This window comes from Homo sapiens, chromosome 17, assembly GCF_000001405.40.
Source record: "Homo sapiens chromosome 17, GRCh38.p14 Primary Assembly".
NCBI classification, from domain to species: domain Eukaryota; kingdom Metazoa; phylum Chordata; class Mammalia; order Primates; family Hominidae; genus Homo; species Homo sapiens.
In genome coordinates, this window is record NC_000017.11 from 21314111 (window position 1) to 21339136 (window position 25026).

Here is a 25026-nt window from a genome sequence, read left to right on the forward strand (position 1 = left end):
CCCCTCCATGGTGACTGTGCCTTCTGTCACCCCCAGGAGCACCCCTTCTTCACCTTGCACAAAACCAAGAAGACGGACATTGCTGCCTTCGTGAAGGAGATCCTGGGAGAAGACTCATAGGGGCTGGGCCTCGGACCCCACTCCGGCCCTCCAGAGCCCCACAGCCCCATCTGCGGGGGCAGTGCTCACCCACACCATAAGCTACTGCCATCCTGGCCCAGGGCATCTGGGAGGAACCGAGGGGGCTGCTCCCACCTGGCTCTGTGGCGAGCCATTTGTCCCAAGTGCCAAAGAAGCAGACCATTGGGGCTCCCAGCCAGGCCCTTGTCGGCCCCACCAGTGCCTCTCCCTGCTGCTCCTAGGACCCGTCTCCAGCTGCTGAGATCCTGGACTGAGGGGGCCTGGATGCCCCCTGTGGATGCTGCTGCCCCTGCACAGCAGGCTGCCAGTGCCTGGGTGGATGGGCCACCGCCTTGCCCAGCCTGGATGCCATCCAAGTTGTATATTTTTTTAATCTCTCGACTGAATGGACTTTGCACACTTTGGCCCAGGGTGGCCACACCTCTATCCCGGCTTTGGTGCGGGGTACACAAGAGGGGATGAGTTGTGTGAATACCCCAAGACTCCCATGAGGGAGATGCCATGAGCCGCCCAAGGCCTTCCCCTGGCACTGGCAAACAGGGCCTCTGCGGAGCACACTGGCTCACCCAGTCCTGCCCGCCACCGTTATCGGTGTCATTCACCTTTCGTGTTTTTTTTAATTTATCCTCTGTTGATTTTTTCTTTTGCTTTATGGGTTTGGCTTGTTTTTCTTGCATGGTTTGGAGCTGATCGCTTCTCCCCCACCCCCTAGGGTACCAGCAGGCAGAGCCTTGCCCTCTGCTCAGGCTGGGGTCCAGTGGGAGGGGCCCAAGATCTCTGCTCAGAGAAGTGCAGGGGGAGCCTTCCAGCTCACTCTCCCTGAGGACTGGCTTGACAGGGGCTATGGGTTTGCTTTGGTGTTGTTTTTAAAAAAAGAAAATATATTTTTTTGAAAAAACGACTGCCCATCCCGGGTCCTTTCCCTGATGGGTTGGGGCAGTTACCTGGTTGCTGTTTTAATTAAAAAAAAAAAAAAAAAAAGGACTAAAGGTTGTGTGAGATTGTGTATGACACCTGTGAGCCCCCCTCTTACTTGGGGAAGGTTGTGGCCCTTCAAGGGACCCTTGTCTCTGGGCCAGGGGCAGGGTGTCGTGCTCAGGGGAGGGAGGACTGCCAACCTACCAGGCCCTTCTACATCTGAGGACACAGAGGCCCCCAGAGGGCTGTGATGAGGTAACATCCTGTGATCATCCAGGCACCAGGCCCTGTACTGACACTGGACAGAGCAGCGAACACACAGGTCCAGTCTGCTGGTGGCGGCCACCCATCCCACTGTCCTGAAGTAGTGATGACAGCCAGGTCACAGAGCAGCGAGCACCCTGCACACTTTGCCTGGGCTGGACACGGTGACCTCATGGAGGTTACCTGACCTCCAGTTTACAGATGGGAACAACAGACCCAGAGAGCTGACATCACTTACCCAAAGCCACACAGCTTATAAGACAGAAAAACAGACTTGGGGACAGGTGGTGGGCTCCGGAGAAGGCTCCGAGGGGAGTAGGGGCAGCCTGATGAAGGCGCCCTGCAGTCTGGCCCTGTGACGCTGGCAGCATGGCTGGGGCAGCAGGGAATTTGCTCACGTAAGCCGGGTGTGCTCAGCTTCAGGTACCGTTAGGTTCGAAGTTCAGCTGATGGCCTGAAGGACTTGCATCCACCTTGGCTGTTCATCCGTCTCAGGTTCACCCCCTCATGGGGACCAGTCAGGACCCAGGGACTCCAAGAGCTCGGCACACCGTGCCCAGGGTACTCCTGAAGTCCCAGGACTGGCTCTTACCAGCTGGGAAGGAGTCGAATTCATCCCCAGGCCAGGAGGGTGGGTGTGACAGCTCAGGTCAGGTCAGGCATGAGGGGACTCCGCCCACTACAGCTCAAGGTCTGAGAGCAGGGTCTCTGTGGTCCTCTGAGGAAGCTTAGGGTGTGTTCCCAGGAGGAGGGTCCCCATGGGGTCTGTCTCTGCACTCCTCCTGTCCTCCAGCCCCAGTCTGGGACAGGTCTCTGCCCACTAACCCTTCCCTGGCACAGGGGCGAACAGTTCCTGGGAGCTGTTGTCTCCCTCTCTCCATCCTTCAATCATGAAGACTTGTTTTCACCCCAGGGCCTTTGCACTGGCTGTCCCCTCTGCGTAGAACACCCCCTCCCCCGTCTTCCTGTGGCTGGCTCCCCCCAACCCCATCCCGGTCTCCCATGTCACCTCCTCAGCGAGGTCTTCCAGGACCACTCTGGCTCAAACAGCCTCCGCCCACTAGGCCCAGCCAATCTAGCTTATTATCCTGGGTTATCCTGGCCGAGACCTGACTTGTCACTGTTGTGTCGTCAGCGCTGAGAATGCTGCCGACACCGAGGGAGCGCTCGGCTTCTGCTGAATGAACACATGAAAGAATGAATGAGGGAGGGAGGGAAGGGGGGAGGGAGGGAATGAATCCCTTGCCGGGGCGCGGCCCCAGGCTCTGTCTCCTGTAGCCGCCAGGGGGCGGTAGAGCTCGGCTTCAACCGCGTGTCCTGGAGCCCCGCCCGGCCCCGAGCGCCCGTCCGCGTCCTCGTGCGTCCTCGGCGCAGCTGGAGGCCGCGGGCTTGCCACGCGTCAGCCCAGTTCTCGGCCTCTGCGGCTGTCCTGCCCGTGTGCACCCCCTGGCCCGGCCCTCGGGGCTTCCGGGGACTCTGCAGCCTGCAGACAGCAGCAGACCCAACGCCTAGAGATTTACCGTGCGCGCCCCTGAAGTTACCCAGCGCCCCGCAGGCCACCGCGCCCCTCGCGGCTCGCAGGCCTGGCTGGACGCCGCAGGCCTGGCTGGATGCCGCAGCCCTTCACAGAGAGCAGGCTCCTCCGCGCACGACTGCAGCCCCAGTCGTTTGCAGTTCCCTTGCCATTTATGGGACCCTTTGGCTTTTACAGAGCGTGTCCAGCCATCAGAGTGCGGAAGCCAGTGCGCAGGTCACTAACATTTACAAAGCACAGGCCCTTGACAGTTTATACTACCCGTGGAGGTCTCAAGCGGCAGGGCCCCTCTCCCCTGTTCCCTGTCCCTGAGGTGGGGGAATGGGGATGGGGAGCGGCCGCCCCCCCCTCCCCCGAGGCCGGACGCCCGCATTTCCTGTCAGGCAGCAGGGTCCGGGCAGGCGCCTCTTCCAGGCCCGGGATTAATGAGTCTCTGGACTGGGAGATGGCAGAGGCATGTAGACTTTGTTCAATTACAGCCGTGAGAGCCTCCTCATCAGGCAGCATTAAAACTGCAGCAGACAGGCCGGGCGTGTTGGCTCACGCCTGTAATCCCAGCACTTTGGGAGGCTGAGGTAGGTGGATCACCTGAGGTCGGGAGTTCGAGACCAGCCTGGCCAAGATGGTGAAACTGCGTCTCTACTTAAAAAAATACAAAAATTAGACGGGCATGGTGGCGCACATCTGTAATCCAAGCTATCTGGGAGGCTGAGGCAAGAGAATCGCTTGAACCTGGGAGGCAGAGGTTGCAGTGAGCTGAGATCGAGGTGCTACACTCCAGCCTGGGGGGCAGAGTAACACTCCGTCTCAAAAAAAAAAAAAAAAAGAAAAAAGAAAAAAATGCAGCAGACAGGCCTGCTCAGGAGCAGGGAGGCTGCGGAGGGAGGATTTGGCGAATTCCCTTCTAGAGGCCAGGGCGTGAAGCCTCTCCTCCAGATCCCTGCTGCAGCTACCGTCTTCGGTGGGGGCCTCCTCATGGTCCACAGTGCCCCACCCCGGGCGCCCACCCCTGCCTCCCCTGTACCCTGTGCCTGGCTCCCTGCGCTTCACCCCGAGCCTGGCGGTGCAGGGCCTCTGCAGGAGCTGTCTTGTTCTCCTCCCGGAACGCTCTTCCCCGGATGTGCTCCCGCTTTGGGGTCTGCTCAGATGCCTCCCTGACCACACTTGTCCTGCCGCACTTTCTTCACATTTATTCATTTTCATTCTTGCCCACTGGCCGCCTCCCCCGCAAGACCAGGAGGAGCCGGCCTTGCTCACAGGAGACAGGGCAGGTGCAGGAAGGCTGCCGCAAGGCCCAGCGCAGGCAGCAGGCAGCAGGGCTGTGCGGGAGGTGGTCTGGGGACAGTGCTGCCATTCCGTTTATTCCGGGGGTCTGCTCTGGGAAGGCTTTCCAGGAGCGAGCCGATACTGAGCCGATAGGCGCGTTGTGCTGGCTGAGGACTCTGCACCTCAGAGAAGGGAAGCCAGGAGCTCCAAGTCAAACAGCAGGCAGCACCCGTGCCGGGGGTTAGCGTCCCGGCTGCGCTCCCGCTCCCATGCCCTCCCTCGGGGCCGAGCTCTGCTTCTGAGGGCGGAGCCCAAGGAGGCCCGTGCTGCCCACCTGGCGGCTCAGGCTCCAGCAGCCCCGAAACTGTGGTCAAGTCCCTCTTCCCCCAGGGAATCGGCAGGGGCCGGAAGGATTGAATATGTCCCCCAAGCTGCTGTGTTGGGAGGTGGGGCCTCACAGCAGGATTAGATCCTGGGGGCCTGCCCTCCTGAATGGATGAATGCTGCCAGCCATCTCCCAGTGGGTTAGTTACCGAGGGGGTTGGTTGTAATAAAAGGGCGTTTTGCCCTCCCCTGCTGCCTCCAGCACTCTCTTGCCTTTCGGCCTTCCTTCAGCCATGGGAGGACACAGCAGGGAGGCCTTGTCAGATGCCGGCCTGGATCTTGATTTCCCAGCCTCCAGAACCCTGAGAAATTTCTGTTGTTTAGAAAGTACCCAGTCTGGGCTGGGCACATGGCTCACACTTGTAATCCTAGCACTTTGGGAGGCCAAGGCGGGCGGATCGCTTGAGGCCAGGAGCTCACGACCAGCTGGGGCAACATAGCAACACCTCATCTGTACAAAAAAGCCAGGTGTGGTGGTGCATGTCTGTAGTCCCAGCTACTCCAGGAGCTGAAGTGGGAGGATTGCCTGAGCCCAGGAGTTCGAGGCTGCAATGAGCGGTGATTGCCACTGCACTCCAGCCTGGGTGACAGATTGAGACCCTGTCTCAATTTAAGAAAAGAATGAAGAAGAAATCATCCAGTTTGTGGTATTTTGTTATAGCAACAATGAAACAGATGAATACAGGCCCCCAACACCAGCATTATCTCATCCTGGTTTCCCTGTGGGCAGGGGCTGTGGTGGGCAGGCAGGACCAGTCACCTCATCTTCCAACAGGGGCTTCGCATCTGACCACACCTCTCCCTGATGCACCAATCCTCTCAACCACACCCCCACCAAGGCCTGCTGGCCTCTGCTTGCATACCTGCCCTGATGGGGAGCTCACTCCCATACAGACGCGATTCCTGGAGGGATCTGGGTTCCATCTTCTTTTCCCTGTTCTAGTTCCCCAGGCCTGTGACGTGAGGGGCCCATGTGTAAACCCTGGCTCACTCTCAATGCTCATTTCTTTGCCTCTTGTGAAAGCTGTTGCAAATCCTTTTGGAAACCAGGTGGGAGGGTCTATATATACACTGGCTGTACTATGTTTATCAGAGCTTGTGTATCTTCACGCCCAGGGCAGCCGGCTTCTCCTGGAGGTTACAGAGGCTCAGCGAGGCTCTGACCCCTCCTGAGGCCACCAGAGAGTGAGGCAGAGCCAGGGAAGCCCAGAAACCCAGGCGTCCTGCCCCTAGTCCCTACCCCCAGCTGAGGCTCTGCCCAGCCCCAGTGAGCCACCTGCCAAGCCAGGTTTAGCTGCAGCCACCCCCTCTGTCCTCGCAGAAGCCGTGGGCTGCTCTATTCCTGTTCTGGGCCAGCCTTATTGGGGACTTGAGTTGGGGAGGCCTGGCGAGGCAGCAGCAGCTGCAAGCTCTGGTTGGGGATGGGGGAGTTGCTCTGTGAACTAGCCTAGGAAATTCTTTCCTTGTCTGCCTCCCAAACCCTCCATGGCTCCCTATTCCCACAACATCCAAGGAAAAGGAGGCACAGCATGAACTTGACAGCAGGGCCTTATCTGGGTTGTTCTCCACAGGGTTTGGCCCATGGCACGTGTTATCTGAGCACCTTCTATGTGCCACGTTGTGTTCTAGAACCAGAGCTGTACCAGGGCTCAGACAGACCTGGACCTGCTCAGCCAGGGTGTCAGGCAGGGAGGAGGCACCCACCTTCGCGGAAAGCTGTGCTCCCCCCATTCTTCCAGCATCACCCCATGATCACTCCCTAAGGAGAAGCAGTGAACTCTAAGTTAATTAGCAAAGTCATTTAAACTAGTTAAGCTTAATTACCATTAAATGATTACATTTAATTAATTAATTTTTTTACATTTGAATTTAAAAGCCCCTGGGGCAGGCAGGGATTTTCTGCCACCCAAGAGACCAAGGGGTTGAAGGACAGATGGCACGGGCCCTGCAGGCCATGGCAGAGAGGCTGAACTTCATATTCAGGGCAAAAGTCACTGGAGGGCTGTGAGCCGGGGAGAGATGTCATCTGATTGCATTAAGAACAACAGCAGCGCAAGATCACACCTGTTTGCCCTCAGAGCCCTACTCCGTGCCTCTTCAGCCCCCACTGTCCCCAGCCCTTGGGTCAGACAACCTTGAATTTGACACTTTCACCCCAGGTTGTATGACCTTGAAGATGTCACTGCACCTCTCAGAGACTCAGTTTCCTCATCTGCAAATTGGGGCAGGATCTGGCAGGATTGCAGGTGGTTTCAACAGAACCCTGCAGCATGGAACAGGCTGGCACACAGTAGGTACTCCATGAATAATGCTGTCCCCCTGGTCCCTGCCTCCACTGCCTCCTCTTGGGCCAAACCCAAGTTTATTCTGCTTCCTATAGTTGCCTTCAACTACAATCTGTCCCCGTGGGGTCCCTCAGGATGCACATCCATGGCAGAGCTGGGCTTGCCCTTAAACCTTGGGCTAGGAGGCTGGAGGCATCTGTCCTGGGACTCTGAGATTTCACAGGCTGTGCTTGTAAGTGGGCACAGACCTGCCGTCTTGGAGTCCTGGAGCCCTGATTGGAGCTAGGGCAGAGCCTGGCCAGGTACCCAGACCCCCTCCTGGGGCCCACTTGGTCCCTTCTGTCTGTGGATGACTTTCAGCGAGTCACCACGTCCCTCACGGTTTGGTTGCTGTGAAGTGGAGCGGAGGGGTCAAGGTTGCTTGCGTGAGTGCAAAGCCAGCCAGCTGAGGCTGGTGTTCCTCAGGAGCATCCATCCAGCCGAGAGAGGAGACTTGGAAGTGTATATCCTGCGCCATCTCCAAGGGATGGAGCTCCAGTTGCACCCAGCGGTAGCTCTGTTGATGACATGGCCTTGGTTGGCTCTTCCCTGTCTCACTTCTCCACTTCCCTATGGGTATTTCCTAGGATTTACTTGAGTCCAAAGCTTCTCAGTGTCTGAGAGTGTACTGGGAGAACCCAAGGAGACAGCGCCTCTGAGAATCATGGTGGGGAGAACAGGACCTGATGACGAAGTGCTCGGCAAATGACGCCTGATGTTACAGGGATCCTTGCTGACCCACTGGACCACGCCCTCCACACCAGCGCTGGTGGTTCCCCACAGTCTGAGGTCTACTTCCCCCAGCTTCTCTCGCACCTTTAGACTTCTCTGTGGCACTGCTTTCTCCTCTCCTCACCATCTCAGCTCCTCCCTCCTGTTAGCTGTGTGGCCCTGGGCAAGTCACTGCCCCTCTCTGATTCTCCACGTTCTCAGTCCCGTGGCGGGGACCTGACACCCTCTCTGGGCAAATGCCAGCATGCTTTGCTAAGCAGTCCTATCCCAGGTCTTGTGGTGTCTGCCAGAAATCTCCGGGAGGCAGAGGATGAAGGCCTGGGCGTTAGTGTGCCTGGTTGGAGGTCCTGGGGACGAAGGCTGCTGGGGTGGGGGTATTGCACTCCTGGTTGAAGGTCCTGGGGAAGTGTTTGTGGGGCTGTCACTCATTCATCTTGTTAGGCCAAGGTGTGAGGAGGTGGGCCGAGGTGGGTGGGGGAGGTTGACGTTGTGGAAATCACTGAGGGCCTGGAAAGCTGCTGCGAAGAGTCCGGGACTCCTGGGCATAGAGTAATGTTGGTGCCTTGACCAGAGCCTACAGACCTCCTTACTGGGACAAGCCAGCTCCCCGCCTGCTCTGTGCTGTGCTGCTAACCCTTGCATCTCAAACCTGCTTCAGGGAAGTATGCAGCAGAAAAGCCTAGCCCCTTGCCTTAAGGCAGGACAAACTCAGAGGCATAATTTGTGCTGCAGAGCTCCCTTGGGCTCAGGCCACGGCAGGGATGGAAATTGAAGAAACCCTTGCTTGTCTTCTCCTTCTTTTTCCCTGGCTCCCTCGCTGGTTTCAGCTGGAAGAAACTCCCTAGGGAAACATTTGCACCTGAATCCTGCTCTCAGGCTCGGCTTCTGGGAGAACCTGACATGAGACAACCTGCTGGCCCTGGGCACCACAGGCGTGTTTTAATAGAATGAGTTTATTGGTTAGAATGCAGGCTCGGTTACTTATTAAAAAACAAAACCGGCCGGGCGCAGTGTTTCATGCCTGTAATCCCAGCACTTTGGGAGGCTGAGGTGAGCGGATCACTTGAGGTCAGGAGTTCGAGACCAGCCTGGCCAACATGACGAAACCCCGTCTCTACTAAAAAATGCAAAAATTAGCCAAGCGTGGTGGCCGGCGCCTGTAATCCCAGCTACTCGGGAGGCTGAGGCAGGGAGAACTGCTTGAACCCGGAGGCGGAGGTTGCAGTGAGCCCAGATCGCGCCACTGCACTCCAGCCTGGGCGACCCAGCAAGACTCCGTCTCGAAAAACACACAAACAAACAAACAAACACCAAAACCCAAGTTAATGATGGTTTAAACAAGGTAGACGATTATTCGCTCCTGTAGCAGTCAGTGGTTCACGGTGGCGACGGCGGACTGAGTTCTATCCCTTTTCTGCCCTGCCGGGTGTGGGTTCATCCACTTCCTCGCGCCGCTCGCACCCCATTGGCAGTATTGGGTCACATGGCCAGCCGTGGCCGCAAAGGACGTTGGGAAATGTAGTCTTCATAAGGGAGCCAGTCGCTCCCGGGACAGTGGGGTCCACGGCTGCGGGAGGGGAATAGAGGTGGGGACTGTCATTCCCTCTGCAGGGAGGGAGCACAAACTTTAAAGCGGGGACAAGATTCTTTTAGAAAGAATGGTCTTCGTGTAAGAAAATATGCAGAGGATTCTGTGTCTGTGGAAAGGGAGCTCTTGCCGGGGATGCGGGAAGATGTTTCTGGAGGTGCCCGGCCCAGGGCGTCCTGGGGCAAGGAGTGGCCAGGCAGGTCCTATGAGGACCCTCCTAGGGAAATCCGACCTTCTTCCATCTTCAGGGAAAGTGGACACAGGCAGCAGCCTGGGAGGGGCGTCGGAGGTGGGGAAAAGGAGCGGGTGTAAACGGAGCCCTCCAGGCGGGCAGGGACAAGTAGAAAACGACAAAGCTAGGTCGCGAGTGTAACGACACGGAACATGGCAGCAGTGGGGTGAGGGACCCTAGGCCTCCTGGGAACTTCCAGGGCAGTTTGAGAAAGCCAGGTTCCCCCAGGAGGGGTTGGGGCGTTTCCATTTTAAATATTAGCGGGGTGTCCCGGGAGGCTGATAACTGGCTTCCGTCCATTTCCCACACGTGTTTGCAAAACGAATGTGTCAGATGTGCAGATGCGCATCCCTGGCGCCCCAGCATAGTCTGCGGCCTTCTGCCCCGTGGTTACCGTTTTCCGTGGCTTCCCCGAGACACTCCTTGCCCTGGACGCAGCCTCTGACTCCAGCTTCCACTCCAGTAAATAGCCCCGACGTGGACACCTTGCGCAGGCAGCTTTGCTGGCATTTCAGATTTGAGATGATTTCCTCGGGCATGATTCCCAGAAGAGAAGTCGGGTAGGGGAAGTGCATTTGCCTGTAAGGGCCGTGGTTGATACAGCCAAATGTCTGCCTGGTCCAGTGGTGCCAATGTACCCGACCACCTGCAGAGCACAGGCAAAACCTTCCTCGGGGAAGGGTGGGATAGTTTGGTTTCATCTCTTTCCCAGATTTTTAAAGTACTATTGAAGATACTAAGCAATTTAAAAAGTAATTTTACCTATAATCCCGTCTGCTAGCATGTTGATTTATTCCTTCTAGCCTTTTTTCTAAATATAAATTTTTTATTGTGTGAAAATTTACATACACGAGCCTTTTATTATGAAAAGTTAAGACATACACAGAAACAGAGAGTCACATAAGGAACCTTCAGGAAGCCAGCACCAGCTGCAGCAGTGATGCCCACACACAGTCCTGTCTCATCTCTACCCTCAGCTACTTCCCCTCCCAAATTATCTAAACATTCATTCCATTCATCCCAGACACAGTATAATTTAATTCACAAATATTTCAGAGCATAGCTCTGGATGATTAGGATCTTAAAAAATGACAATAACAGTCTTTAGTATTTGCACAAGTAACAACCATCCCTTAATATCAGCAACCATTCAGTCTCTGTTCAGATTTCCAAATGTCTCATGAATAATAGAATTAACAAAAGAATGGTTTGATTTGGTATCTGAATAAGACCCCGCGTCTCCACTGGCTGATGGATTGCCTTGGTGTCTTTCATTTAGTGGTTGCCCCTCCCTGTTTTCTTCCTCATAATTTATTTGTTGAAGAAACTGGGTTGTTAGATTGTAGAGTTTCCCGTAGTCTGTATTTCCGGTAAATCGGTAGCTGGTCTAGTGACTTGACCAGATCAGGTTGGACTTTTTTTTTTTTTTTTTTGGCAAGAACACTTGGTGCAGAGTTCTCTGCTCTTCTGTTGGGAGGCAGTGTTCTGTCTTCTCTTTGTGGTATTAGCAGCTGCTGATGCTCAGTGCCTGGACTCATTAATTTATTAGTGGTTGCAAATAAATTTAAAACAAATTAGTGGTTGCATAACGGTGATATTCTGTCATTCCTTCATGTATTCGCTGAAATGTTTCTATAGAGAGAAACTGACCCTCAACAAAACTTCTGCTATTTGGCTACCTGGTGGTACAGTTTATAAAGTGATATATGCTTGATCTGGTTCCTCTAACAGTTTTCTAAATTAAATTGTTCTTCCAACGATGATCAAGTAGGGATAAAAAAATAAGTACAAACTTGTGAATTCAAAGACATTTTCTGTGTTTTAATTGACTGCATTAATTGCCCTTATTGAAGTTCAAATTGTCCCATCTTTCAAGCTGGCTCTTGAGTACTTTGGACATGACCCCATTGGTCTTTGAGAATGTACTTGCTCTCTGGTTTGGCAAGATGCTGCAGGTTTATTGTGTGCATTTACTGCTCTAGACCTGGAGTCAGCCATTTCTCCCAGGAGCCCTAGTTCCTTTTAGTGAGAAGTGCCTCCACAACCTTTGTCAAAATAGCATGTAAAACAAAATATAAAAAAAGGAAAATAGAATTAAAAAAAAAACACAACTTGGGTACCAGGGGTGCACAGTACTGCTGTGGTCAGTACTTCCTCCTCCTCCTCTTCCTCTTCCTCTTCTTCTTTTTTGAGACAGTCTCCCTCTGTTGTCCAGGTTGGAGTGCAGTGGCACGATCTCCACTTACTGCAACCTCTGCCTCTCAGGTTCCAACAATTCTCTGGCTTCAACCTCCCGAGTAGCTGGGATTACAGGTGTGCAGTACCACACCTGGCTAAGTTTTGTTTTGTTAGTAGAGATGGAGTTTTACCATGTTGGCCTGGCTGGTCTTGAATTCCTGACCTCAAGTGATCTGCCCACCTCGGCCTCTCAAAGTGTTGGGATTACAGGATTGAGCCACCACGCCCAACCTGTGGTCAGTATTTCTACATCATTAAATCATAATGATACTTCCTATTCAAATTTAGGACCGCAGGGCTTTCACTTAACTTCTGTCATTTATTTGTATTCATTTTCTCTAGGAAAGAATCTGGTTCTCAATGACACACATTAATACAGTAAGAAAACCATTTGCATGAAGCCACCGTACACACACAATGATATCAGAATAATACCAGCACCATCGTCAGCATAATGCAATGATTGAAACAGTTTAAAATGATTTTTTCTTTTTGTCTTTAGGGCATATTGCACTAGAAATGTATAGTCAAATTATGGTATTTTAAAGTTCCTTGGAATACTTCCTCTCAATGTGGTTGTAAAATGTGTATACACAGGCCGGGCACGGTGGCTCACACCTGTAATCCCAGCACTTTGGGAGGCTGAGGCAGACGGATCATGAGGTCAGGAGTTCGAGACCAACTTGGCCAATATGGTGACACCCCGTCTCTACCAAAAATACAAAAATTAGCCGGCGTGGTAGCTCGTGCCTGTAGTCCCAGCTATTCAGGAGACTGAGGCAGAAGAATTGCTTGAACCTAGGAGGTGGAGGTTGCAGTGAGCTGAGATGGTGCCACTGTACTCCAGCCTGGGTGACAGAGCAAGACTCTGTCTCAAAAAAAAAAAAATGTATACAGAGGTTCATTTGTTCCCTTTTGCTTTCAATGTTTAGGGGATTTGTAAAACTTTTATAATTATATGACATACTTACATGTTTCTAAAATCAGATCTACAGAATGAATTATATTCAGAGAAGCCTAACTTCTATTCCTTTCTGCCCCACCTTGTCCCCACTCTTCCCCATATGTAACCATTATACGCAATATACAGTTTATCCTTCATGGCATTTGTAAAACATGGCCACAAATCCTTGGATAGTCATCCCATTAAGAGATGTGGTCTATGTCCCTCTGCTTGCATCTGGAGGATTTGTGACTGCTTTAGCTAACAGTGTGGCAGAAATGATGCTCAGAGACTTCTGAGGTGGGTTGTAAAATGCCTTAGAGCCTCCACCCAGCTCACCTGGGGCATTCATGCTTGGAGCCCCCTGAGCCATCACGTGAAGAAGTCCAGTCACTCCAAGACCCCTTTTTGGAGAGGCCGCGTGTAGGCACCTGGGTCCATCCGCTGAGCCCAGCCTTCCAGATGTCCCACCAAACACTGCTGTGTGAGTGAAGCCATCATGGAGCCTCCAGATCAGCCCATCTTCCAACCGGCTGTCAGTGAGTGATCTCCATCAACGCCGCATGGGAAAGAAAAACCACCCAGCCAGCCCTGCCTGAACTCCTGACCCAAATAATCATTTATGCAATAAAATGATTGTTCAGACCCACCAAAAAGGTAGTTTGTTATGCTGCTTCAGGTAATTAGAACACCCTTCCTTTTCCATTTTTAATATAAGCTGGTTCATATATGTGTGTATCCTGTCTCTGTATTAGATAAATGGTAGCATATTAGAGTCACTTCCCTACCTCACACTTTTCACTAGACAATATGTTCTGGCCATCACTCCAGAGAGATTTTATTTTATCTTATTTTATTTATTCTTTATCTGAGACAAGGTCTTACTCTGTCACCCAGGCTGGAGTATAGTAGTGTGATCATAGCTTACTGCAGCCTCAACCCCCTGGGCTCAAACAATCCCTCCTGAGCCTCCTGAGTAGCTGGGACCACAGGTGTGCACCATTGCACTGGGCTAATTTTTTTTTTTTATATAGCGCTTTCCTATGTTGCCCAGGCTGTTCTCAAACTCCTGGGCTCAAGCAATCCTCCTGCCTTGGCCCCCCAAAGCGTTGGGATTACAGGTGTGAGCCTCCATCTCAGCCTCCAGAGAAATTTTAAAGGACAGGTTTGAATTTTGTTTTGTTAGCCAATATAGAAATCTTTTTTCTGCTAATAGGTGAATTAAGACCATATAATCAGTATGTTTAACCTCAGTTCTGTCATATTGTTTTATGTTACATTTATACTTACGTAAATCTTTTAAACAAATTGTTTTTCAGTGTGGCTTTTATTTTTCTCTATCTCTTATTGTTTTTTTTTTTGGTACTAAGGAAGGGTCATATTTTTGCTGAAATGATTACCTTTATACTAATATCTGCACATAATGCTTTCAGTTCCCTCTTTTTTGTCTGTTGGTTTCCTACTATGAACAATATTGAAATGTGCTAGTATCCTCTTCCCTTTCCTTTCCCACAGCACCTGATTTGAATTAATATCCTTTTACTCCTAGTTATTAACTATAAGGCAGTCAACAAGCTTATTCTACTTTTCATATGCTCTTCCCATTTTCCCTCAAATATCTCATAATTGTACTGTAACAGCTGTACTTTATTCCTTACAACCATTGTTTACTCCTAATCGTACAAGTAAGTATATGCTGTATATGTTGAATACGCACCATCAGACCTTATGTTTATGTTTCTCTAGTCACTTTGGTTGCCTGACGCTTGTTTTCTAATAGGGTCCTCAGTAGGTGCTCCCAGGAATAATACTCTTGGAGTTCTTGCATGTTGGTAATTGTTTATGACCCTTATACTTGAACATCAGTTTGGCTGGAGACATATCTTTCTTGGATTGTACTTTACCCCTTTAATAATGTGGCCATACTAGTCCCTTGTCTTCTGGCATGAAGTATTGATGTAGGTAAGTCTGATGACAGTCTGATTTTCCTGATAAGTGACTTAATCTTTTTCTTTCTCTTTTTTCCTTTTGTCATGCCGTCTTGTCTAAGAGTGACTTGATCTTTTCCCAGATTCTCAATGGCATCCATAGAATATGTCATAGAATATGATTCTCTGTTGGATGTGCCGGGTCACTTTTTTTTTAGGTACACAATGTTGTTTCAAGTTTTTATCTATCTCAGGAAAGTGTTTTTAAATTGTAGTGTTTACTCTTTCTTTGATTATCTAGCTTTGGTTTTCTTTTTCAGCAGCTACTATTATACATATGTTAGATCATTTGCCTGTCATCTACATAGTCACTTTCTCTCAATCCTAGTTCTCTGTCTTCCATTTTTTTGTTTTAGAAATGTTCATCATTTTATCTTCTTTGTGTTCATTTGGTCTTGTGTTCCTTCTAGTTTAGTCGTCATTCTGAAATAGGGTTTTTCTTTTATTTCTAATTATTTCTTCAGTTCTAGCACATCTTTCCTGAAGTCTTCCAAATTTTGTTATTCTTTTATAACTTTTGTTACTTTCTTAACTTCTGTTGGCTCATTTTTAAATGAGTTTCTACACTTTGGGGCATGTATTTTGGGGCATGTGTTTCTGGAATGCCTTCATTATCTGTGGGGGCATCATTCATCATTCTCATTTTTCTTACAATAATTTTGTATGGGGTTTAACCACAATCATTTTGTGTTGCTCATTTTTTAATGAAATGAGTTTTCTAAACTCTGAAGAAGAGGGTGGGTCAGAGCCACTTTTCTAACTTCACGGCTCTATAGTTTCCTCTTCTGTTGCTTTTGTGAAGTGTTAAAAAATAGGATCTTGTACTTTATTTTATACCCCTTTTCCTTCCTACCTAAACCTTTTCTCCCTTCTTCCCTCCCTCCCTCTCTTGCTCTTTCTTTCTTTCATTTCTAGTTTTTGGTTCTTGTTGTCTCTGTTCTGCCCATTTTAGATTCTACTCTCAGCCTGTTCTTTTTTTTTTTTTTTTTTTTTTTGACAGTGTCTCACTCTGTCGCCCAGGCTTGAATGCAGTGGCATGATCACAGCTCACTGCAGCCTTGACCTCCTGGGCTCAAGTGATCCTCCTGCATCAGCCTCCCAAATAGCTGGGATTACAGGTGTGTGCCACCATGCCCAGTTAATTTTTGTGTTTTCTGTAGAGACAAGGTTTTGCCATGCTGGTCTCGAACTCCTGAGCTCAAGCAATCTGGCCACCTTGGCCTCCCAAAGTTCTGGTATTACAGGCGTGAGCCACCATACCCTGCCTACTCTTAGCCAGTTCTCAGTGTGGACCCTGCCCTGGAAGGGAGTTCTAATTTATTAGCACTATTCCGGCCCCTCTGACCTTTCTATGAACCCCTTGTAATCACCATGAGTGGGGCGTGTAGCAAGACCTCCCAGTCTCAGCAATGACTGTCACTTCCAGTTGGAAGCAATTAAGACCTGGTGTGCCTCCTCCCTCTTTTTCTTTTACTGCTGTGGTGATCTCCAAAGACACAGTGGCATCTAAGGTAGAGGGAGCCTTGATCCTCCATCATCCCTATAAGGCACACAGAACAGACTGGAGGCAACTAGATCAGAATCCTACTAGATGTTTAAAGGGAATGTGATTCCAGGGAAATCCCATGCCTGGCTTACAAAAGCCTTTGATGACTTGAAACTTAAAAAGGGATTAAATGACATTAGGACCTTTGGCCTTCTAGGAGAGAGGCAGTGGACTGAGAAAGTGGGAAATCTCACCCAGATAGGGATAAGAAGAAAAAGGAAACAGGCAGAAAGAGAACAACCCAAAAGGCAGAATGAAGGGCCCTGGAGGACACTGGACAAGGGAGTTTCTCCCCTGAGAAGCATCAGGGCCTGATGAAAGGCCCATCCTCATCCTCAAGGTAGGGGCTGCCCACAGACTGACCGGTGGGCTCTCAAAGTCACTATGAATCTTTACATGTCTGCACAGGCTCTAGGTGGGAAGGATGCCCGTGGTATCCACCGGAGTATACTGGGGGGTGTGGAGAAGGGTAAGTAACTTGTCATTTTAGTTGAGAAGGCCCTGGACAAGAGGACCCTCACAGACATAGACCTGCACATCACCCTGAGCTGGAGGCAGTGCTGGGTGGGACAGGTTTCTTTCCCTTAGGGAAGAGGGGTGTGTTCTCTGTATAGGAAAAATGGAGCAAGAGTTATCTGGTGACTGTAAGGAAATATTACAGCAGAGACAACCAGCACTCGCTACATATCCATGGTCTCCTTCCTTTCCCAGCCTCCCTGCCTGTTGAGTTGAGGCCACGTGACTCATCCTGGCAGATGGCGGATGCAGCGGGGACCTGCACCAACCGCAGTGGAGACAGTTAAGAGTTGGGGCCTTCTCACATCCTCCTCTCTTGTTGGCAGTAACTGTGGAAGTCATATTGAGAGGATGGAACCGCAGGATGGATGCTGCTTGGATGCCAGTGTCACTGTGTGGAGCAGAGCTGCCTTAGACATTATCCAATTTATCTTAGACTGGGACATGATGAGGAAATGAACCTTAGTTTGCTTAAGCCATCAAGATTGAGGGGTTTTGTTACCACAGCTTGTCTTAATCTGTCCTAACACAGGTGTATACTTCTTTTTTACACAAAATTGAGACCGAACCAATCATGTTATTTTATTTATTTTATTTTATTTTTGAGATGAAGTCTCACTCTTGTCCCCCAGGCTGGAGTGCAGTGGCGCCATCTTGGCTCACTGCAACCTCCGCCTCCCGGGTTCAAGCGATTCTTCTGCTTCAGCCTCCCCAGTAGCTGGGATTACAGGCGCCTGCCACCATGTCTGGCTAATTTTTGTATTTTTAGTAGAGACGGGGTTTCACCATGTTGGCCAGCCTGGTCTCGAACTCCTGACCTCAGGTGATCCACCTGCCTTGGCCTCCCAAAGTGCTGGGATTACAGGTGTGAGCCACTGTGCCCGGCCCAACCATGTTATTTTATAACATGCTTTAAAAAACTGTTAAAGAATCAGCTTAATTGAGGCATAATTTATAGACTTTAAAATTCACCAACTAGAAGTGTCAGTTTGATAAATGGAGACAGCTGTGTAACCCCTGCCTAGGCCCCTTCCTTCACAACCCAGAGACCTCACCTGCACATTTGCGGTTGACTTCCATTCCCACCCCACCCCTCCCACCCCCTCACTAAACATGGATTTGTTTTCTGCCACTAGAGTTTTACCTTTTCCAGAATGCCGTATAAATGGAACATAATGCTTTTGAGATTGAGCCAAAAGTCCATTCCTTTTTATTGCTGAGTCGTATTTCATGGTATGGATGTGCCATGGTTTGTTTATTGCCCATTCAGCAGTTGAGGGACGCTTGGGTTGTTTCCAGTTTTGGGCTATTGTGGATTAAGACGCTATGAACATTTGTGTACAGGTTTTGTGTGATCACATGTTTTCATTTCTCTTGGGTAAATAGCTGAGAATAGAATTTCTGGGTTCTGTGATAAATGTAGATTCGACTTTAGGAAAGGCTGCCAAAATGTTTTCCAGAGTGGCTGTACCATGTTTTATTCTAATCAGCAATCTATCGGAGTACTACCTTCTTCTTCAGGAAGCTACGATAACATCATTATTTTGCAACTTAAGGAAAGACTTTTTTTTTCCTTTTTTTTCTTTTTTCTTTGAGATGGAGTCTCGCTCTGTCACCCAGGCTGGAGTGCAGTGGCGCAATCTCGGCTCACTGCAACCTCCGCCTCCTGGGTTCAGCCATTCTCCTGCCTCAGCCTCTCCAGTAGCTGGGACTACAGGCGCCCGCCACCACGCCCGGCTAATTTTTTGTATTTTTAGTAGAGACGGGGTTTCACCGTGTTAGCCGGGATGGTCTCAATCTCCTGACCTTGTGATCCACCCTCCTTGGCCTCCCAAAATGCTGGGATTATAGGCGTGAGCCGCTGCTCCAGGCCAGAAAGATTTTTTTTGGAAAATGATTTCAATAGTTTGGATAGTTTAAACCATGCCGTATTGTTTCACATTTAGGTCACTTCCATTTTGCTCCCTGGTTTGAGGTGTGACTGTGAAGGGCATCTTGTAAAGGAATTTTAGTGCACATCTCGGGCTATTTCCTGAAGCAAAATTCCTAAAAATGCGGTTAAAGGGTGAACTTTTCTTTCACCTTTTGATATACAATGCCCTCTTAAACTGTTGAACCAACTTCCATTAGAACCAGAGTGAGGGGCTTGTCACCCCTTTCCTGTCTGATTTGGAAAGGGCCTCGTCATGTAGTAAGGATATTCATCTTTCCAGGGCCTTATTTTCACAGTTTTTGTTTTGCCCATCCTACTCTGCTTCAGGAGTTTTTTAATCCACAGGCTTTTTAAGCTATTTTGTCATCAAACGTGTCAGTCTATTCTTTTCGGCTTGTCTTTGGTGATATGCTTGGACAGGGCTTCCTCATCTGAAGAGCATGAAAACAGTCACTTAAACTGCTTTATTTTATTTATTTATTTATTTATTTATTTATTTATTTATTTATTTATTTATTTTGAGATGGGGTCTCACTCTGTCGCCCAGGCTGGGGTGCAGTGGCGCGATGTCGGCTCACTGCAAGCTCTGCCTCCCGGGTTCACGCCATTCTCCTGCCTCAGCCTGTGAAGTTGCTGGGACTACAGGCACCCGCCACCGCACCCAGCTAATTTTTTGTATTTTTAGTAGAGGCGGGGTTTCACCGTGTTAGTCAGGATGGTCTCGATCTCCTGACCTCGTGATCCACCCGCCTCGGCCTCCCAAAGTGCTGGGATTACAGGCATAAGCCACCGCGCCTGGCCTAAACTGCTTTATTTTTTTTTAAGACTTTGAACTTTACATTTGGCACTGTATGTATTTATTTGTAACTGTTAAGTGTATGAGACACGCCAAAGAGAACATGGCACACATGCAAGTTTAACAGATAATAATAAAAATGCTCACCCCAAGATACCCAGGCAGAAGAGGAAGCCACAGAAGAGATTTAGTGTTTTCTCTGTTACATTTATGTAGAGGTTAAAACCAAGTAAAATTGAACTGTATATTGTTTAAGAATACACCTTCAGAACTGTAAAAAGCAAGGGAGTTTTTTTGAGAGGAGAGGGAGATGAAGCTGGGTGGGGACACTCGGGGCCTCCACGGGACTGGAATGCTGTTTCTTCAGGCGGGTGGTGGGCCTATTGGAGTCATTCTGGTCTAAACTGTATCCCGTCATTTTACAAACTCTTTGAATATGTATCTTTCTCTGTGGGTATAGAAAAACCCAAACCAAAGTGCTTTTTCTATCCTATCACTCAACAATCAACACAGAACACTGACCAAATGTAGGGGGATTGTTCCCCACCAGCAAGCAAGCACTTCTGCAGCAGACACCAGCTGGGTTCTGACACCATCGATCTGAAGACAACATCGGACCACAGGCTGAGGAGGGGACAGAGCAGAGACCCCTCCCTCTTAAGGGGACACCAGCACTGCCACCCTACCCCACACAAGGAGATAAAGGAAAATCTTGAGTCCTTTCAGGGGAACTTCCAGGTACCCAGCTAGGCCTGAGAAGTAAATGAGCAGCTTGATAAGCAAGAAGGTAATAGTAACATAAAACAATAGCCAAGGAAGTTAGAGTCAGATGTTTGGTTCCCTATAGAAACTGAAGATAAGATCTTCACGTATGTCCCTGAGTTGTTTTTCAGCACCACACTCTAACCAACTGAGCTAACCGGCCACCGACCCTGAGCTTTTCAAAAACCTGGACCCCCACCACATGGAGTCTGCTGGCACATAGACTCCAGAGAACGGGGAGCTGAGCACTGAACTCTGACCTCTTGCTGTTCTTTGATCTACATTTCTTCCTGAGGGGCCTGAAAGAAGCCACATCCACAGGCCAGACCTTAACATTCCTTTCTGCTGACCCCAAGTTTTTAGACAAAGTCTAGATTCCTTAATCAATGGCAAATCAGAGAGTCTTTGAATCTACCTATGACCCAGAAGTGCACCCACTTCAAGACATCCCACGTTTTTAGGCCAAACCAATGTGTAGCCCCTGTATATTGATTTATGATTGTACTTGTAACTTCTGCTTTCCTGAAATGTACCCCTGTCTTTAAGAAGCCTTGTTTGTAAGCCACTGGGGAGGTTGGGTCTCAAGTATGAGCTGTCCCCATTCTCCTTGCTTGGTGCCCTGCAAATAAGTGCCCTCTCTTCTCCTGCTGCAAAACCTCAGTGTGGATGTTTGGCTTTACTGCACTTGGCAAGCAGACCCCAGTCCAGTGTGGTAGCAAGGGCTCAATCCCCAAGACTGCTCCCCAACTTCCAATGTCAATCAAAAGCCCCAGGTTGTTTCACCTCTGCTTCTGGCCAACTAGCTTGAAATTGGGGTTCCCATGGCCACATCCTTGGGTTTAACTTGCTAGAGTGGCTCACGGAACTTAGGGAGACACTTACTTATATTTACTGGTTTATCACAAGAGATACGTCAAAGGAGACAGCTGAAGGGATGCATAGGGTAAGTTATGGGGAAGGGGTGTGGAACTTCCATGCCCTCCCTGGGAAGCACCGCCCTCTAGGAACCTTCATGTGTTCAGCTCCCTGAATCTGTCCCTTTATGTTGTTACGGAGGCTTCATTATGGAGATACGATTGATTGTAATATGATATGATTGCAATGTCACTGGTGATCAACTTAACCGTCAGTTCTCTCTCCTCTTCCCAGGACTGATCCTGCCTTGGTCTTTCCTCTGACCAGCCCTATCCTGAAGCTACTTAGGGGCTGCCAGCCCTCAGTGAATCATTCACATGCAAGAAGACATCACTTTGGAGATTCCAAGGATTTCAGGAGTTGTATGCCAGGAAAAGGGAAGAAGACCAAACGTATATTTAACAATATCACAGTTCCACATAGCATTTAAGCAAATTTTTAATTGTGGTAAGATTCACATAATATAAAATCTACCATCTTAACCATTTTTAAGTGCACAGTTCAGCGGCATTAAGCGCGTTCACATTGTTGTGCATGCAGTCATCACCACCATCCATCTCCAGAATTCTTTTCATCTTGCAAAACTGAAACTCTGTCCTCATTAAACAACTTCTCATCTCTCCCCCATCCCCGGGCAACCACCATTCTACTCTCTGTCTCTCTGAATTTGACAAGTTGAGGACCTCATATAAGTGGAGTCATGTTTGTCCTTTCATGCCTTAGCGTAATGTCCTCAAGATTCACCATGTGGCAGCACGTATCAGAGTGTTCTTCCTTTTTAAGGCTGAATCTTATTCCACCGTGGGTATCAACCACATCTTATTCATTCATCTGTCAATGGGCTTTGCATAGAATTAAAATTTTCCCCCTTGCATCTCCATTTGACTCCTCAATTGTCCAGGAAGGTACATGGGTGTGTGGTGTGAGGTCTGGGCAGGTGGTCTGCTTTGATTTCCCCACTTCTGAGAGCCATGAGAAACTTGCTCCATTTCACAAGCTTTTGTATAAACCCTATCGTACAGGGCATGGTGAGGAGGCTGAAATAAAGCTATTCTTTTATTCACCAAATATCAGTTGAGCCCCTGTTACTTGGTGTGCATGTTTCTAAGGGCCTGGGGCACTCTCCATGAAGACAGGTGTAAACCCTGCCCTCACTGGTGCTGCGGGTTGGAAGACAGAGACCAATTCTAAGGCAGAGGAGGGAGTGATCGCTTCCAGATTTGTGGGAGATGTTCAAGGAAGGCTTCCTGGGGGAGGCAGCCTTTGATCTGGGCCCTAACACATGGATAGACTGAACAGAAATGAGAAGGGGAGAATTTCACTAAGAGGGAAAAGTTCACCTAAAGGCCTAAGAGCCAAATGTGGGTATTGGTTTGTAGTTTTATCAGAGAGTATTCAGCAGCAGGTGACAGAATTCCTCAACTACAGTGGCTTAGTAATAAAGTCATTGGATTCATAGAAAGAAAACTGCAGAGGCAGTTAGTTCCATAGCTTGGTGGAGCTCCAGGTTCCTTCCATCCTGTGTGTGTTGGTTTTTGTTCTTAGGCTTTTTGCCTCATAGTTGCAAGATGGCTGCCTCATCTCCAGTCATTGCATCATCTCACAGCTTTCAAAGGCTGGAGGCAAGGGGGTCAGCCAATGTGTTAAGAGTCTGCTCCTCTCACGTCTATCTCTTTATACCAGGAGGTCCATCTCTCCCAGCCTTCCCTTATGTTTCATCGTTGTTCAGAAGTACATCAGGAGGCAGCCACAGACCCCCCACTTGCCATGGGGAGTGGGATTCCCTGACTGGTTTGGCCCAGTCAGGATTCATCCTCCAGAGCTGAGCTGTGCAACAGAGCTCTCTGTGTTGATGGGAATGTTCCAGATCTGTGCTGTCCAAATGACAGCCACCAGCCACAGGTGGCCATTGAGCACCCAGAATGTGACTCATTTGATGGAGGAGTGGAATTCTTACTAAAGGTCATTTTCATTTGTTTAAGTGTGAATGTGTGGTGAGAGGCTGCTGCAGAGGACAGCCCAGTTCTGGAGGTTGCGCCACTGACCCCTCGCTGGATGAGGTCTGGCTTCTGTTAATGGGGAGAAGGGAGATGTCAGTTGAGGAGGTGACAAAGGCATCTGCCCAGGGCAGCACCTGCAAGTAGATAAGGAACCAGTGTGTGTGTGTGTGTGTGTGTGTGTGTGTGTGTGTGTGTGTGTGTGTGTGGAGGGGGAGAGGCATTAGAGGAGGCCTGGGTGACCGCAGCACCTCCACTTTCTTCACCGGGAGGGGGAATGGGAGAGAACTCACCCATGCACCCACCAGCACGCGGGCTCTTCAGTCCCACCCTGAGGGCTTCAGAAAGCTCGGTGCCCTCTCTGGGGTCTCCTGGGCCCCTCTGGCTCTGATTTTGTCTCCGCATCCGGGCCCCTCTTTAGGTCTTCCCAGCTGAGGAGGAGGAACTGACACGACAGCAAATTCCAAAGTCCGTTCTTCCTCTCCTGAATCACACTCGGCCTGGCCAGCTCCCTGCTGGCCACAGGGTCAGGGCTGGAGGAGCCTCTTGTAGGCCTGGTGTCTGGGAAATGCTCCCATGAGCCTGCAGGGAGGGGCGGGTCAGCCCCTTTCATAGGCCAGGAAGGTGAGCTGGTCCCTCTGGCCGGGAGGTGGCCTCGGCCAGCCTGGCACGCCCAGCCTCCGGAATCTGAGCTGGAGGCAGCCACAGGCCCTAGGCCGTAACTCAGGGCCAAGTCAATGGAAACATGGTTTGGGTGTATTTTTAACCTTGCTGGCTGTGAGCTAAGAGGCTGGCTCTGGCATCTGTGTGGTCAGTGAAGATGAATGGCTGGGCTGCTGGGCAGCAGTGTTCAGCATCCCGGTTGAGCAGGCCTCTTGCCCACCATCCCCCTTGTCACTGATGGTTCATATGGGAGGGGGAGAGGGGCAATGGGCAGGAAGCCAGTACCCCTCCTGCCAATGCCCCTCCTGTCTCTCCCTCCAGCACCTGGGCTGTGGAGAGAGGGTTCAGTTCGAACCCTGGCTCTGCCTCTTACCAGCTGTGTAACCTTGGGCCAGTTACTTTACTTCTCTGTGCCTCAGTTTCCTCACCTACAAAATGGGCATCCTAGCACTGTCTCCTGGGGCCAGTGTGAGCCCAGCATCTGCTCATGGCAAATACTCAAAAACAATGACCAACATTGGCACAGCCAGCTCCGGTCCACCAACTTTCTATACCAACCCACAATGAGCTCCACAATTATTGCCTAAGCAGCTACCATCACCTTCACCTTGTGGTTGGGAAACCAAGGCACAGAGAGGAAAGTAACCAGTGCGAGGCTCACAAGTGGGGCTAGCAGGGAGCACAGATCTGAGCCCAGGAGCCCTCTTCCAGCAAGGCTGGCCTCTGGCGCCACGGCTGGGTCATTGGCTTCTGTGTTCCTGGGATGCTGGGTCCCACTGCCTGTGGGGGCCTCAGGCCCCTCGTCGCTTATCTACTGATCTCTGCCTCCACTCCTGCTTGTGAGCCTCAGGATGGTGAGTGAGTGAGTTCGCTTGTTCGGCTGTTTATTCATTTACTCACGCACTCATCCCACCCGTGTCCACAGAGCCCCTTGGTGGGCGGACTCTGCTCTGTAGATGCCACCGTGCCCACAGCCCGCCCTCACCAAACTCAGTCTGGTGGAGCCAACAGACATCAAAGAAACAAGCAGCCACAATGACAGTCAAGGGGCACTCGTGGAGAGAAATGGGGAGCTTTCAGTCTTGGGCTGAGTGGTTTGGGAAGCCTTGCAGAGGAGGTGGGTTTTTTCTGGAACTAGGGGACAGACAGTGGGGGCAACAAAGCAATTTACTTGGAGGGGCCTTGAGGCTGCATATGAGTTGGACCTGGTCTAGCAAGGAAAGAGGGAATGGTGCACCAGGCAGAAAGAATAGCAGTTGCAGAGGCATGAGTGGAAAATGCCGAGCCTGGTGTGGCTGGGGCTGCAGGGTGCACAGGGGAAGCCAAACTAGCTCCGACCTCCCCTC

The 25026-nt window shown here is 50.2% G+C and overlaps 1 protein-coding gene across 9 annotated transcripts in view, besides 8 other annotated features; it reads left to right on the top strand.

Moving 5' to 3' along the window:
* MAP2K3 (mitogen-activated protein kinase kinase 3) overlaps positions 1 to 1130 on the top strand; it is a 30530-nt gene extending 29400 nt beyond the window's left edge. For 7 of the 9 annotated variants that reach the window (XM_017024857.3, XM_017024859.2, XM_047436408.1 and 4 more), the window contains one exon: positions 37 to 1130. In XM_017024857.3, coding sequence (XP_016880346.2) covers positions 37 to 120 — 84 coding nt within the window. In that variant the 3' untranslated portion in view covers positions 121 to 1130. The remainder of the gene's footprint in view (positions 1 to 36) is intronic. The other 2 variants (NM_001316332.2, NM_145109.3) reach the window with 1 other exon arrangement.
* Positions 2903 to 3412: an enhancer, noted in NCBI's record as "H3K4me1 hESC enhancer chr17:21220325-21220834 (GRCh37/hg19 assembly coordinates)". NCBI's record gives its function as "activates a minimal SCP1, AML or CMV promoter by ChIP-STARR-seq in primed H9 embryonic stem cells {active_cell/tissue: H9 hESC(primed)}" and the evidence as "EXISTENCE:reporter gene assay evidence [ECO:0000049][PMID:30033119]".
* Positions 3750 to 4426: an enhancer, noted in NCBI's record as "H3K4me1 hESC enhancer chr17:21221172-21221848 (GRCh37/hg19 assembly coordinates)". NCBI's record gives its function as "activates a minimal SCP1, AML or CMV promoter by ChIP-STARR-seq in primed H9 embryonic stem cells {active_cell/tissue: H9 hESC(primed)}" and the evidence as "EXISTENCE:reporter gene assay evidence [ECO:0000049][PMID:30033119]".
* Positions 4427 to 5103: an enhancer, noted in NCBI's record as "H3K4me1 hESC enhancer chr17:21221849-21222525 (GRCh37/hg19 assembly coordinates)". NCBI's record gives its function as "activates a minimal SCP1, AML or CMV promoter by ChIP-STARR-seq in naive H9 embryonic stem cells {active_cell/tissue: H9 hESC(naive)}" and the evidence as "EXISTENCE:reporter gene assay evidence [ECO:0000049][PMID:30033119]".
* Positions 8621 to 9294: an enhancer, noted in NCBI's record as "H3K4me1 hESC enhancer chr17:21226043-21226716 (GRCh37/hg19 assembly coordinates)". NCBI's record gives its function as "activates a minimal SCP1, AML or CMV promoter by ChIP-STARR-seq in naive H9 embryonic stem cells {active_cell/tissue: H9 hESC(naive)}" and the evidence as "EXISTENCE:reporter gene assay evidence [ECO:0000049][PMID:30033119]".
* Positions 8748 to 8797: an enhancer, noted in NCBI's record as "active region_11886". NCBI's record gives its function as "activates an Ori minimal core promoter by ATAC-STARR-seq in GM12878 lymphoblastoid cells {active_cell/tissue: GM12878}" and the evidence as "EXISTENCE:reporter gene assay evidence [ECO:0000049][PMID:35858748]".
* Positions 8808 to 8917: an enhancer, noted in NCBI's record as "active region_11887". NCBI's record gives its function as "activates an Ori minimal core promoter by ATAC-STARR-seq in GM12878 lymphoblastoid cells {active_cell/tissue: GM12878}" and the evidence as "EXISTENCE:reporter gene assay evidence [ECO:0000049][PMID:35858748]".
* Positions 8958 to 9087: an enhancer, noted in NCBI's record as "active region_11888". NCBI's record gives its function as "activates an Ori minimal core promoter by ATAC-STARR-seq in GM12878 lymphoblastoid cells {active_cell/tissue: GM12878}" and the evidence as "EXISTENCE:reporter gene assay evidence [ECO:0000049][PMID:35858748]".
* Positions 24077 to 25012: an enhancer, noted in NCBI's record as "H3K4me1 hESC enhancer chr17:21241499-21242434 (GRCh37/hg19 assembly coordinates)". NCBI's record gives its function as "activates a minimal SCP1, AML or CMV promoter by ChIP-STARR-seq in primed H9 embryonic stem cells {active_cell/tissue: H9 hESC(primed)}" and the evidence as "EXISTENCE:reporter gene assay evidence [ECO:0000049][PMID:30033119]".